Below are 14,820 nucleotides of genomic sequence, written 5' to 3'. Positions count from 1 at the left end.
TCTGCTATTTTCTACCTGTGTGACCTTAGATGAGATACTCAACTGTTCTGTGCCTCAGTTTCCACATTTTTAAAAGTGCTAATAATTGCCCTACCTCAAAGAGCTGTGAGGATAAAATGACAACTAACAAATGTAATACTCTTCGGGTAGTGCTGGGTACCTAGAAGGGCACTATGTAGGCTTTGGCTACTGTTATTATAGTAGCCACTCAGTCCAGGGAGCCCCAGAATTAGTAGGTGAAGGATGCTGGCTTCATTTAAAAGGGCAAGAGAGAAGACACTCTAGAACAGAGATGGGCAAATTTTCCTGCACAGGACCAGGTAGTAGATATTTTGGCTTTGTGGGCCCTGTGGTTTCTGTTGCAACTACTCACTTCTGCCATTGTAGTAGAAAGTAGTCGGCCAGGCGCAGTGGCTAACGCCTGTAATCCCAGCACTTTGGAAGGCCAAGGCACGGGGGATCACCTGAGGTCAGGAGTTCAAGACCAGCCTGGTCAACATGGTGAAACCCGATCTCTGCAAAAATACAAAAATTAGCTGGGCATGATGGAGGGTGCCTGTAATTCCAGATACTCGAGAGGCTGGGGAGGGAGAATTGCTTGAAACTGGGAGGCAGAGGTTGCCGTGAGCCGAGATCACGCCATTGCACTCCAGCCTGTGTGACAGAGCGAGACTCCATCTCAAAAAAAAGAAAAAAGAAAAGAAAAGAAAAAGAAAGCAATCACAGACAACGTGCAAACGAATGGGCGTGATTGTTTTCCAATAAAACTTTATTTACAAAAACAGGCAGTGGGCTGGATTTGGTCCAGAGGTCATAGTTTGCAGACCCTGTTCTAGAACAAATGTCCCTGGAAAGAGGGATAGTGAGTTTTCCTCTCTGGTGGGTAGAACTAAGAAATCCCACAGGTTCCCCATCCAGGCCAGAGCTCTGACCACTCTGGCTACAAATTCACTAAAAAGCAAAGCTCCAAACTCACAGAACAAGCAAATAATAAACGAGTTTTGAAAATAATTAAAATTGAAAATTGATTGTCTGGGCCAAAGCAGATTTATGCAAAGGGTCCCTGCTCCACTGGGAGTGGAAGGAGGGTTTCTAAGCTCTGTGTTGAACAAGCTAAGCATTTTTTCAGATTATTCCCAGCATAATATGCCAAAGGGAATAGGCTCCATTTATTATTTCCTTAAAAAAATCAATGAGCTGAAACATTCCCTCTAGACCTATAATATTTATTTCAATGTTCTGTCAATAAATATAACAAGGTTAGCTTTCTATCAGTTTAGTTGGAAGAATCATTTGAGGGAAGTTCTATTTGTTAAGCTCGATTACAGAAAGCAATCAATAGAGGAAAATTCCCTGGTCACTATAGGCAAGAAATATAGAGCTCAGAGGATCCATCCTGGGAAGGAGATTGATGCCACTGTCCCATAATCCCTCTCTCCTTCCCCCAAAGGTAGGAGATGTGGGTGCAACCTTGAGTTATGGAGTGTCAGGCTGAAGAAGTCCCCATCTGGTGCTGACAGAGAAACTGAGGCCTGAGGAGAGAAAGGGAATTATTCACATCATAGAGTGGCAGAATCAGAACTAAAATCTAGATATTCTAATCTCAGATTTCTCCCAGGTCTTGAGCTATTTGGTTGGCTCAGGTTGGACACAGGATACAGAGACCCTTGGAAAAGGAATGCTTTTCTCTTTCATTTGAATTCAGCTTTGTTGGACAAGGCTTTTCAAAAGATGGACCTGGGTAAGATGGTCTCAGAAAGGTGTTCGAAAATATGCTCTTCTGTGAGTTGGGAATTTCTGAGGGCTTGGAGAGTTGGGGGAGATATTTCACCAATTTACCCTCACCCTCCAACACAACCACACATACCCACACATGGGACACACACTTTCCTGGCTAAGTTGGCAGGTGTGTCCACTCTCATAGAACTTGAATTTCACCTTTTGGCATTGCTATTGGACTTAGCTAGATAAACCTACTCAGTTATACCTCAGCCTTCCACAAGATGAGTCATGGGAAATACAGGATTTGGGGTCAGAAAACTTGACTAGTTGGCTCAGCTTTGCCATATTCTTAGCTGGGTAAAGTCATTTCCCCTTCTCCAAGCTTCTTTTTTCCATCTGTAAAATTGGAATAATAATATTGATACTTTTTCATAAATTAGAAGAAGTATAAAGAATGCATGATGTTGCTGGAAAAATAAAAACAATTATTACTATGATTGATTATTTAATGGTTAGTAGCATTATTGAATTATTGGTAGCATTTATTGAATGCTTTCTATATGCCAACATTTAAGCATCTTACATGCTTTATAACATTTAATTCTCACAACAACATTATGAGGTAGATGATATAAATATCTTTATTTTACAAATATGGAAAATAAGGCCTGAAGCTTAAATAACTTTCCCAAGGTCACAAAGCTAGAAAATGGCAGATTGAAGACTGAACCCATGTTATCCAACTCCAAAGCTTGTACTTATAACCTCTACAATCAGAAAGATTACGGTAGAATCCTGATCTGGAAAGAGGGAATTGCCTTTCCTACTTCACACCCATATCCCAATCCACCTCACTCAAAAAAGCTAAGTCCCAGGATACCTGTGGGTCTTCATCTTTCACCTCCTTGAATATCCAAAGGAGGCTTCAATGAATCAAGTGCTTTGTGGAGACTATCCCAAGACATGCTCATCAGCAAGAGGTCTTCAACCTTAACCAACTTCACCTCTCACCTAGGGATTCAATTATCCTAAATAAAAAGTTGTGACAACTCTCCTGATCGATCACTGAGTTGCTGGGGGAATTGGAGAGAAGAATTTAACAAATACAGTTGAACAATTATTCATTGAGTTCCTACCATGCCAGGCATTATTCTAGACACTAGAAATACAAATATATTCCACAGCCTGCTGAGCAAGACTCCCTGGATGTTCCTCAGTATATCCAAAACTAAATTCAATGTCCCACCACCCAGTCACCTAAGCTAGAATCCTGGGAATTATCAGGCTCTGCCCCACCTCTCACATCACCCAGCACACATCTACTGAGTCCCTACTGAGTCCCTACTAAGTCCCAAGTGGCCAATCACCAGGCCTCAGTCATTCTGAGACACCACTATCACCATCTTTAGATATTACATTCTGCAGGCCATGGGGAATTCAGGCTCTAGGGAGATTGCCTGGGTAGCCAAAATCATTCCAGGAGATCCAAGAAATAATAAACATTGTAATCCAAATGCATCGGGCTTGACTAGCCCCTGAACACCAAGGCAGTCTCATTACTCTGAGAACTTGGAGCCCTCAGCTGACTGATAACAGGAAATCCAGTCTTTTGAAGAGTTGTCTTCAACTCTACTTCCTCAGAGATTCCAACTCTGAGAATCTCAAAGGTCGCCATCGTGTTTCCACAAACCAGTCCTTGACCCCCTTCATCACAGTGAAAATCAACTAAACACCATAGCCTTGGAACTCAAGAGTTTTGCAGAGTTGCCACTCTGGGTGGCTCAAACAGAACTGAAACTTGGAGTCTTGGCTATCCTAAAGAGAGAAACATCTCTCTCTGTTAGGCTAAGCTAGAGAGGTCTCACCGCAGGGTTCTTGAGCATGATGGGGTTTCAATATTCAATGGTAAAATTATTTAATTCATACATACAGCCCTTTCCTCCCAGGAAGCAGCTGCCAGTAAGAGATCTAAGCAGGGCTTTCCCTAGAGCCACTGACTGGCCTTAGAGAGGACAAGGAGTGCTCAGACAAACATCTGTGCATGCACTAAGGCAAAGTTCTAAACAAATTGATCTGAAACAGACAAAGGGAACTCTTGTCCTATTGATTCTGTTCACTATAAAATATCCTGAGTCCACCAACTTCTCTCTCCATCTCTACCACAACCATTATACAAGTCCAAATCACCACCATCTTATGTCTTGACTACTATAACTGCCTCCTGACTTCCTAAATCCATTCCAATCCTTCCAATCTACTCTCCACACAGCCACCAAGGTGATCTTTTTAAAATGCAAATCTGATCATGTGCCACCCTTGCTTAAAACCCTTCAACGAATTCCATTGCACTTATGACAAAATTTTAAATGTGACTGTCTTACTGTAATCTCTCAAAAGTACAGCTCTGGCCATATATTCACATGAACTTGGGTGCAAGAGATAGTTCCCAAGAGGCACAAGTAAAGTAGGGAATGGGGAAAGTTCACAGGGAGGGTAGAAAAGTTCTAGACATATTCCTCATTGTCCCCATTATGTAACAGCAAATCTAGCTCCTCTCTCTGTATGCTGGTCTACTGGCACAAAGAACCCAAAATAAATTGGTGGGAAGGAATCTTTGTTTTACGTTCAATGGAATCCTTACTATTTCCCCTAGTGAAAGTGCCCCATCCTTTGGGACCAAGACCTATAAATCCACAGAGCCTTAAGATTCTAGGATAAGAGGCACAGGTTCCCCCAAGTTCGTCCCTGGAAATGATGGTGAAAGGGCACAATCCCACTTTCACCCCTTGATCCCTAGATCCATATATTCTAGCCATTGTAACACAACACTACTCAATGGCCATTAGTGTAATGTATACACTGCATCCTGGAGAACAGAATTCTAGACTTATGGATTCCTCAAACTGCCACCTTAACTGAGTTTTTAACGGATGATTATAACATAACATTCTATAAAGCCAGCAGCTTCCAAGTAATTTGGTATATAATAGGACCAATGCATCCCAACGCCATTTGTCCATTGTCATACCTCCTTTGCTGTAAAGTGGGGGGTCTTGATCTGAGAAGATGCTATGTAGAATTCCATGTCACTAATCACTCTGTAAGCCCCTGGGTAGTGGTGCTGGCATAGGCACCATGGGCAAGGAAGACAAACCATGTCCAGAGTTTTGTCAATCTCAGTAAGGACAAATTGTTGCTTCTTCCAGAGGCAGTTGCCACCAAATGGTTGGACATTCTCCATAAGGCTCAGTACCATGCTAAGGGTTCGATGTTGGGCCCTGCTGTTGACAAGTCACACATTTAGCAGCTGCATTGGCTAGATGTGCCTTGGTGAGAGGAAGCCCACATTATTGAGCCTATGCAGATCCTCCATCCCTGCCACCATACATGGGACAGCTGAGGACAGAGGCTTGTTGACACTCAATGGACAAGTCTTGTCTTCTAGTTGTTTGATACCTTTTCTACATTGGATGCTTTCTCATGAGCATTAATATCAGACACAAAAATACCAAAATTTTGTGTCCATTCCTATAGGGCCATCCGTGTCCTTTATCCCCAGACTCCCTAGCTCTGATCATTTCATCTTGCTTCTTCCAGGCCCCTGACCAATTAGCCCAGCAATTCGCCATTGCCCAAAACTTTATGTATATACTCATGTCAGACCACTCCTTTCTCCATAAAAAGTTAATGATCTAACTGTACTGCTTAAAGATCTCCTGTCAACACTGCCCTTTAGTGTCACCACTATATTGAACTGACCCATGTTTGAATCAACCCAGGATTTTTCCTCCTCCATGGGAGGAGGGAATCTCCTAGCTAGTCATGGGAATCTCCTGACAAGGGGATATATATGAGCTGAAAGGAAGGTGTTGGTTCAACAAAGATAGATGACATGGGAATCTATCCCACCTGTTCATGCACTTACTTGAGCCTCTGAACCTGTTCAGATCTGACTCAAATGTACCATTTCCTTCATACGATGGATTGCTAACGTGTCTAGCCAACGTTGTGACTCAGATATGATAATACCTAGCTCATGATGGCCAGCTCTGGCCATATATTCACTTAATGGTCTATGGTCAGGTGCTCAGTTTCTGTTAGGGCCCAGTAACACCCCAGAAGCTGATTTTTCAAGCATTGAGTAGTTCTCTACTAAAGAAGGCATAGCCTTGCTCTATAACTCTAAGGATTTCCCCTGTGAGTCTCCTGATAAAGCTTGCCAGACTACAGATACCTCTAACACTATTGGTTTACAAGGTCTTATGGCACAAGAAATAGAGAAGTTTTCACTGCAGCCCAGGCTTGTTGCTGAGTCTTCTTTTGATCTAAAACCCATTCAAAGCTGACAGTTTCCTGGGCCACTCAATAAATGGGTTAGAACACTATTCCCAACTATAAGTATTCACTACCTCAAAACTCCAAATAGGCCTACCAAGAACTATGCCTCCTTCTTTATGGTAGGAGATTCAAGGAGCCATACCTACAAACGCTTGATCAGTGCTTCAAGTTCTGAATCTGCGTAAGCTATATGTCCTCTTGACATAAATGTCTCTTACTAGAACGTCCAACTACTTGCCACTTCCTGTTCGTTGGATTTGTTGAGAATGATGCCATCAGTATAGTGGACCAGCATGATGTTTTTGGAATGTCAAGACAATCAAAGTCCTTTTAGATGATATTGTGACAAAGAGCAAGAAAATCAACATAGCCTTGAGGCAAGACAGTAAATATATATTGCTATCCTTCTCATATGAATACAAACTGCTTCTAATCCTTTTTTCTGATGTGAATTGAAAAGATCAAATACCATGTATCAAATGCTGGAGGCTATGTTGATCTGTTCTAGTAAATATGCCATATCCAGCACAGCAGCTACAATCAGAACTCCCCCTTGTTTTGATGGTCCACTGGTCATTATCCTTGACCAATCTGGATTTCTAGGGTCCCTATCAATAAATAGAATGGGAATGTGGTGGGGAAAACCAATTCCTAAATCCTTTAAGCCTTTGGTGGCAGCACTAATTTCTACAATGCCACCTAAGATATGGAATTGCTTTGGATTTAATATCTTGGCCAAAGAGTTAAAGAGCATTTTAAAAGATCTCAACTTGGGCTTCAGAACCAATATGAAGGTTTTGTCAACTACTAAGTATATCCATGCTAATTACATACTCAGAAACGAGGAAAATGAACAAACCTTCAGTGTGGGCATCTATTGGACCCACTGTAAGACAGAGTTAAACCAGGGTTCCCTTATCACCTGCCCTCAATATGCCCAATTCTAATATGGGAGTGATTGTGGCATTTGCATCCCCAGCTGACTCAATACCCAACAGCTCTCAAAAAATTTTATTGTTTCCTCTTTCCCTCATGTACAGGTACTCTGATAAATAGCTGTAAGTCTCTTTGGAGAAGGATTGGGAAGACATTTATTGTAAATAATTGAAGTGGCTTTGCAGAGTCCTTCCTCAAGGGGACAGGGCCTCCTCCTCAATCAATGGACTCTGGGTCTGAAAAGGGGCTCAGATTTGGAAAATGGCTAAAGATTCATTATTTTCTATTATGGAAGCTGCCATAGGCCTTGATCTTTTTGGCTCACCTGTTCTTGACCTTTTTTGGTTATATAAGGTAAGTAATACCTTGTGGGCTGTCCATATGTCCAGCTCCTAGGAACATGGTCTATTAGCTATCAGCACAGATCCTTTGGGTGAAGACCTCTAGCTGCCACTTGACTCTACTGCTTGATGTGGCAAACAAGTCCACCTTTCCTCTATTTCCCGCTGGCACATGGTCTCTCCTATTCCAAAATTCCATCATTCCCATTGTCATCGAGGAGCCCAGTTCCAGTGCAGCATCTCTTACTGTCAACCCTGCCTGCAGAAGATAGCCACTACTGAGCTCCTCAATAATATTGTATATCCATAACTAGTGCCTTTCTTATGGCTTTAGTGAGGGAAGTATCCTTCGGACTTTTCTAGAAAACATAGTCAGTGGGTATCATAGTCTCACATCACATCTCTAAGTCTTCTGACTCCTTCCTCAATACTCTACCAGCAATTCCAGCATCCCTCCATCTAATTAGCTGCAGGTCCAAGCTTCATGGAGACATCCTGGCAGCATATTAGCACTGACTCCAAGTGTCCTTGCCAGGCATTAAATCCTTAATCCCAGGAAAGGATTCCTAGATCAATACACACTCCCTGATCTACACTTATATTTCCACCCCCAACCCCGCCCGAGTCTGGGATCCACCTCTACATGGATCCCCCTGGTTCCTCCTGGTACATGTCGGCAGCTTATTCAGCAATTTTGGTGAATGAGCTATTTACTCCTGGAGCAGGGTCTGTACTTACCTGCTCAAGCTATGCTGAGACCTGACCCCGGTTAGTTTTTCTGCTTCTAGGTGACTTTGAGACTCTCTCCATTAAGAATGGGAGAGCCACAAAATGGAAGGTGCCTGGGTCCCTGATTGCCACTTGGAAGAAAACCACCACTTATCAGAACATCTATTTTGGAGATAAAAAATAAACTTTTTTCTGTTAAGATACCAAGATGTTAAAGGTTTATCTGTTAGAGCAGCTGGCCTTGCCTTAACTAATATAATGCTCTAGTTACCTCCAGGCCTCAGAATCCAGAACAAACTAAACCAAGTCTCCAGAAAGAGGAGGAAAATGTCCCCTCCAGCTAAATTCTACCACATACCTCCTCATTTTCTGCTCCAGGATTCACTTCTTCCCAGAACGACTGAAATTGAAATGTCAGTCCCTTCTAAGAGAAGTCTTGCCCCCAACCCACATAAGTGCCATCAAACCCTAAAGCCTTAACAAGCAATAATTGGCATTAGCACATTTCCTGAAGTCTGAGGTTTTCTGCCTTAATCCTACATACGGGTCCTCACCAGCCCCACAGGTGGGGCTAACTAGGCAAACTGTGCTCAGTCTAGTTTTTTTGGGCTGACCACAGCCCAAACATTTCAAAAAGTCTCAGCCATGCTGACCTTATTTTTAAAAATGACTTTTTAATCAAATGAGAGGAAAAAGAAGAGAAAGATGAAAAGGAGAAAAAAGAGGAAGAGAGGTAGGAGGACTGTTTGTAAAAGATGCTACTTTGCTATCAGTACCCCACAAGTCATCCACACTGGAGACCTTAGGAGGCATCTGTTTTGTCAGAATACAGGCCAGAAAGTAGTACGGTGTCTGAGAAGGAACTCTACTCCTAGCATCTGGAGAGCAGATTCTGGATCTGACTCCACCACTCACTGGCCCTGAGTCTTGTCTACTCTCTGGGTCTTGGTTTTTGCATCTGGAGATAATTCCTATTTCTCAGGCCACAGAAGCTAGAGGTGAGAATAAGAGTAAATAATAGCCCAAAACAGATGGAAATGGATATGCCATCACTGCTTCAGTTCCGCAGCCACTATCACTGCCACTGAAACCACTATGGTACCATTCAATCATTCATGCAGCAAACATACATTGCATGTGCTAGGAATACAAGAATAACAAGGAAGCCATGGCCCCTGCTCTCCTAGAGCTTACATTCTAGTGGAAGAAACAAGTGTTCATCACATAATCAAACAAATTAGTATATAATTACAAACTGACATAAATATTCTGAAGGAAAGCAACACATTCTATGAGAGCAAATAAAGAATAAGCTGGCTTAAATGCTTCTCCAAGGACGTAACATTTGAACTGACATCTGAAGCATGCGTAGGAGTTAACCAGGCAAAAAGGAGAGGGTGGGGGAAGAACATTCTGAGCAGATGGTATAACAGGTGCCAAGGCTCTGCGATGGGGGAGAGGGACAGGAATGTGTCGGTGAAAGTAAAAGGCCAAAGGGGAGACTGCTGTGAAATGAAGCTGGAGAGGCAGGCAAGGCTGAATCCTGTGGTCTTAAGAACACATTAAAAGTGTCGATCTTCTTGGTAAGCGCAATGGGACGCCAGTGAAGAGATTCAGACCGGGGAACGAACGTGACCAGATTGGTGTTTGGAAAGGATCACGATGGCTCTGGTATGGACAATGAATTGGATGGAACAGGAATAGAAGCAAAAAGGCAGTTAGGAGCCCTTCACAGTAATCCAGGAAAGAGATGATGGAGGCTTAGACCATGGGTGTAAAATCAACAGGACTTGGGGGATGGGTGGATAATGGCCTACAAGCAGCTGCTGCTGACATCTTGTGCCCTCCGTGTCTCATAAAATTTACAAGGTTCTTTTGGTTTTGAACAATGGAATATCATCTTACACAGAGGTTAGATTTTGAAGTCTGTGCATAAGACAAGAACTGCATATAGTCTAAAGTACCCTTGAAAAACTCAAACCACTCATAAAGTACAGTATACATGGGTTTGTTTATACAGCCATGAACAGAAATTTTTAGGCACACTAAAGTTAGAGAGCCACCGAACTAGAATAAAGAAAGCAACAGAAGGAAAGCCCATATGCAAATGTCTGGGCATTCAAATCACTCTGCCTTTACGACAACTATTCAAATCCCTTGCAGTGAATGAGGGGATTTGGGGGAGGGGGAGGGGAAGGAAAGAAACGTACATGTAGGAGGCAGGGGTAGGAATCTTTTTAATGGTCCCACTTTCCTGAATATTTATTCCATTCAGTGTTACTATGACGTCTTTACAACTCTAACACATGTTAATATATTAGTTGTTTATATTAGTTGGGCTGCTAATATAGTGTTGGATTCCTACCACAGTATCTACTCCAGTCTCTATTCCTTCTTCCCTGAAGGTGAGTTCTTTCCCCAGAGCCCTGCCTCTATCCCGCTCCAGATATATCTAAATGCTAAGTTGAGCTCAAGATGAGTCAGGGCCCTTGTATCACACAGGATAGGCTCAGTCATGGTGCCATAACAAACAATCCCTTAATCTTAGCAGCTTCAAACAGCAAATACTATTTCTCACTCATGCCACTTGTGCATCATGGGTTGGTTGGGGCTCTGTTCCATGTATCCTCACTCAACTGATGGAGCAGACACCATCTCGAACATTGCCAGTCTCCAAGGCAGAGGGAAAGAGCTCTGAAGGGCTTCATGTAGCAATTAAATGTCCATATATGGCACAAGTCACTTCCATTCACAACTCATTGGCCAGAATTAATCACTAGGCTTCACCCAACCACAAGAGGGCCAAGAAGTGCAATCCTTTCATGTGTTCAGCAGGTGCATTGCCAGAAATATTTGACAAACAACACTAATGACTTCCACATGCTCTAAATGTACAATGACATGACAGAGAAGAGACAAGCTTTAATTATTAAGCCTGTGTTTGGTTCTGGGGCCCTGGGTAACCATGTGGCTGAATAAAATGTGCCCTACTCATGCCCCAGGGGCAGAGTCTGTGCCCAGAAATAGACTCCAGACAGCATTTGGACTGCTATCTTGGAAATTAAAGCGATGTCCCCAGAGAGGCAGCTGACAACCTGTGGCTTGGCTTCACTACCTCTTTACCTCCTGCCCAGGATCTATGGGGGCCAAACACAGAATGAGTAATATTGGGGCTGGAGCTCACTCTGTCATCAGAAATCTCTGACAGCTCCTGGAAGTGCGTGGGTTAGGGACGATGCTATATAGATGAATCCCTGCCCTCAAGGAGTTCCCAGTGTCATGGTGTTACATGCTGTGGTAGATAGTTTCCTTTACTCCTTCTCATCCCTAGATGCAAATGATGCTCCTCCCATCAGCAGGTGGAGCTTATTTCCCCTCCCCTTGAATCTGGCAGGCCTGTTACTTGCCTTGACAAGAAAGTATGACAGAAGTGAGATTCTAAACCTTATAAGACCAATCCCTAAGGGAAGTGGCCACTTCCACTTTCTTCCTCGTGAAACCCAGCTACCATAGTATAAGGAAGCCCAAGCTAGACTAGTGGATGATTAAAGGCCATGTGGACAGATATCCTGGAGGATGAGCAGCCATCCTGGACATTCCAGCTACAGTGGAGCTCCCAGGTGAATGCGGACACATGAGTGGCCTAAGCTACACTGGGTGATGCAGAGCTGCCTGGCTGAGGACAGTCAACCCATAAAATCAAGAAAAAAAACATATCATTATTTTAAATCACTACATTTAGGGATGGCTTGTTACACAGCAACAGATAACTGAAAAATACACAATATCAAATATATATGCATGGTTCTGAGAGATCCCAGAGAAAGAAAATCTAAGAATGCTTTAAAAGGTGTTATCTCTGGAAAGACTTTGAAACACAGTTGCATGAAGTTCATTGCAGCAGGAGGGTTGCTCTGGAGGGATCCGCCTATAAAGACGGAGGAAGCTGGGATTGGCCCAGTAATATGGTTGCAACTTAGACCTCAGCTATGAGAAGTTCTGAAGGTAGGAAGGGATTCAAGGTTGTCCCAAACTCAGTGAAAGGAGGCAGGTGTTTGAGTCCTTCTCAGCCACCAGTAACTGTGGGCTGGTCCCCAGAGGGGGCATTACCCTAGGGAAGGCAGCTGTCTGGCTGCAGGCAGTCCCCAGGGAGGGAAGTGGCTGAGAGCCCTCTGCAGCCTATTATGCCCTCAGCAGCCCAGGAGAGAGGAGCCAGCCCTGAAGAGGGGAGCTGGAGAACACATGTCTCTGCAGGAGGAGCACCAGTGGCCCTTGAACTGAGATATGAAAGTCCCCAGTGAAGTGAGGAAGGGGAGAGAGTTTCCAGGCAAGGAAGCTGCAAAAGCAAAGTGCCAACATAGGAACAGACGTGGCAAGTACCAAAAGAGGAATACATAGAAAAGGGGGTAAGAGATGAGGCAGCACTGAGTGAAGAAATGGGGGCTTTGTCCTGAGGCCACAGGGGGAGCCACTGAAGGGTTCTAAGCAGGGCAGAGATGTGGCGAGATATCTGTTTGAAAAGATCCCTGTAACAGCAACATGGAAGATAGAGCAGCAGGGTGGAAACCAGAGGTGGCAAGCCTGTCAATGATGCAAGAGAGAAATGAAGTTAAACTCCCGGCTCCTGCTGGTATTCACTGGCTGCATCCTGCAGTGACTTCTTCCCTTAGCAGCCAGGTTATGTTGCAGCTTAACCCAAGTTATTGGTCTGGTTGCTGGAAGAGGAGGTGGGAGACCATAAGCTGGGGCGGGAATTGGGGGAGGGTACATGATACATGGCATCTTGCAAGGTAGAGGCCTTTTCATCATCCTCAGGCCTGGGTGTATTAGGGTTTTCTAGAGGGACAGAACTAATAGGATAGATATAGATATAGATATATAAAGGGGAGTTTATTAAGTATTAACTTACATGACCACAAGGTCCCACAATAGGCTGTCTGCAAGCAGAGGAGCAAGGAGAACCAGTCCGAGTCCCAAACTGAACTTGGAGTCCAATGTTCTAGGGCAGAAAGCATCCAGCATGGGAGAAAGATGTAGGCTGGGAGGCTAGGCCAGTCTCTCCTTTTCATATTTTTCTGCCTGCTTTATAATCACTAGCAGCTGATTAAATGGTGCCTACCCAGTTAAGGGAGGGTCTATGTTTCCCAGCCCACTGACTCAAAAGTTAATCTCCTTTGGCAGCACCCTCACAGATACACCCAGGATCAATACTTTCTATCCTTCAATCAAGTTGGCACTCAGCATTAACCATCACAAGTCTACCCCTTGTCAACTTGAACCCATACACATCTCCTGAGATCATACATAATCTTCAAATAAAGACAATAATAAGGTCATAATTATGCCTAATATAATACAACTATCCTTCTTACAACCAGAAACACACCAATCCCCAAATACTATTACATAAAGTTAACAATACTTGAATGCTGATATGAAGTCAATAAATCTTATGTCACTTGATAAAGGAAAAAGGAAATAAAATGAAGATATTTTCTTAGTACAAGTGTATACATGCACAAACATGTTTTTAACAAAAGAAGGAGGAAATACTCATGACAATTACCGTCCTCGTTTCTGCAGCTGGTCACGTGGTTGTAGCTGGTATTGATGACTACCTTCTTCTGCTACCAATTCTGTATTCCCTTTGCCTTCGGCAAGCACCTCAGCAGGTTGTGGGGTTTTTTTCCTGGTGGAGTGACCCAAACCTTCATTCCTGATGGGTCTGGGCCATTTGTAGTCCTGCCTGGATTGGGCTGTTGTAGTTTTCCATTGACCTTAATCACAGGGCATGGTAATACTAAGAGACGCCCTAATGGTCTCCTGTGTTCCATGCATACTCTTCCTTACCTCCGTTGTAGAGTAGTAGACTGATTTCATCTTGATAGTCCAGTAAATCACCCCAGCTAACACTATAACTCCCTTGTTAGCTTGTTGACTTAAAGGTAGGAGGAGCCCAAAGTGTCCAGGTGGCCATCTTAACTTCCAGTTTAATGGGATCATTGTTGTGTCTCCCGGTGGCAGCATTCCTCCCTCTGGAACTAAGATCTCTAGGCCAGCAGAACATAATGTCACAGGAACAGGAAGCAAAAATTTTGCTCATGGATCACTAGCAGTGATGGTGAGTCATGCCACTTCCACTTCCATTTCCACCCCTTGATTCCTGGACACTCCTGGCTATGGGAGAAACAGTACCATGTATTGGACCCTGATTCAGAGCACACACAGCCTTCTGGAGAACTTTGCTGCAGCCCTGCAAAGTATTGTCACCTAGTTGGCATTGTAATTGTGACTTCAAAAGGCCATTCCACTGTTCTATCGATCCAGCTGCTTCAGGATGCTGGGGAACATGGTAAGTCCAGTGAATTCCATAAGCATGAGCCCACTGCCACACTTCTTTAGCCATAAAGTGAGTGCCTTGGTCAGAGGCAATGCTATGTGGAATACCATGACAGTGGATAAGGCATTCCACGAGTCCAAGGATGGTAGTCTTGGCAGAAGCATTGCATGCTGGACAGGCAAACCTATATCCTGAGTAAGTGTCTATGCCGGTGAGGACAAACCTCTGCCCTTTCCATGATGGAAGAGGTCCAATATAGTCAACCTGCCACCAGGTAGCTGGCTGATCACCCCGAGGAATGGTGCCATATCAAGGGCTCAGTGTTGGTCTCTGTTGCTGGCAAATTGGGCACTCAGCAATGGCTGTAGCCAGGTCAGCCTTGGTGAGTGGAAGTCCCTGTTGCTGAGCCCATGA

The 14,820-nt window shown here is 43.8% G+C and overlaps 1 long non-coding RNA gene across 6 annotated transcripts in view; it reads right to left on the bottom strand.

The window, feature by feature from the left end:
- Window positions 1-14,820, bottom strand: part of LOC105378654 (uncharacterized) — a 77,745-nt gene that overhangs the window by 55,430 nt on the left and 7,495 nt on the right. For 4 of the 6 annotated variants that reach the window (XR_001737987.2, XR_002958294.2, XR_001737986.1 and 1 more), the window contains exon 2: window positions 1,988-2,118. The exons of 1 other annotated variant lie outside the window; for it this stretch is intronic. This is a non-coding gene — a long non-coding RNA (uncharacterized LOC105378654). Of the gene's footprint in view, window positions 1-751; window positions 1,533-1,987; window positions 2,119-14,820 lie in introns of those variants that run through there. One more of the 6 variants, XR_007065910.1, reaches the window with a different exon arrangement.

The sequence above is a fragment of the Homo sapiens genome, chromosome 1 (assembly GCF_000001405.40).
Source record: "Homo sapiens chromosome 1, GRCh38.p14 Primary Assembly".
Classification (NCBI taxonomy): Eukaryota; Metazoa; Chordata; class Mammalia; order Primates; family Hominidae; genus Homo; species Homo sapiens.
This window is presented reverse-complemented; position numbering and strand designations above follow the sequence as displayed.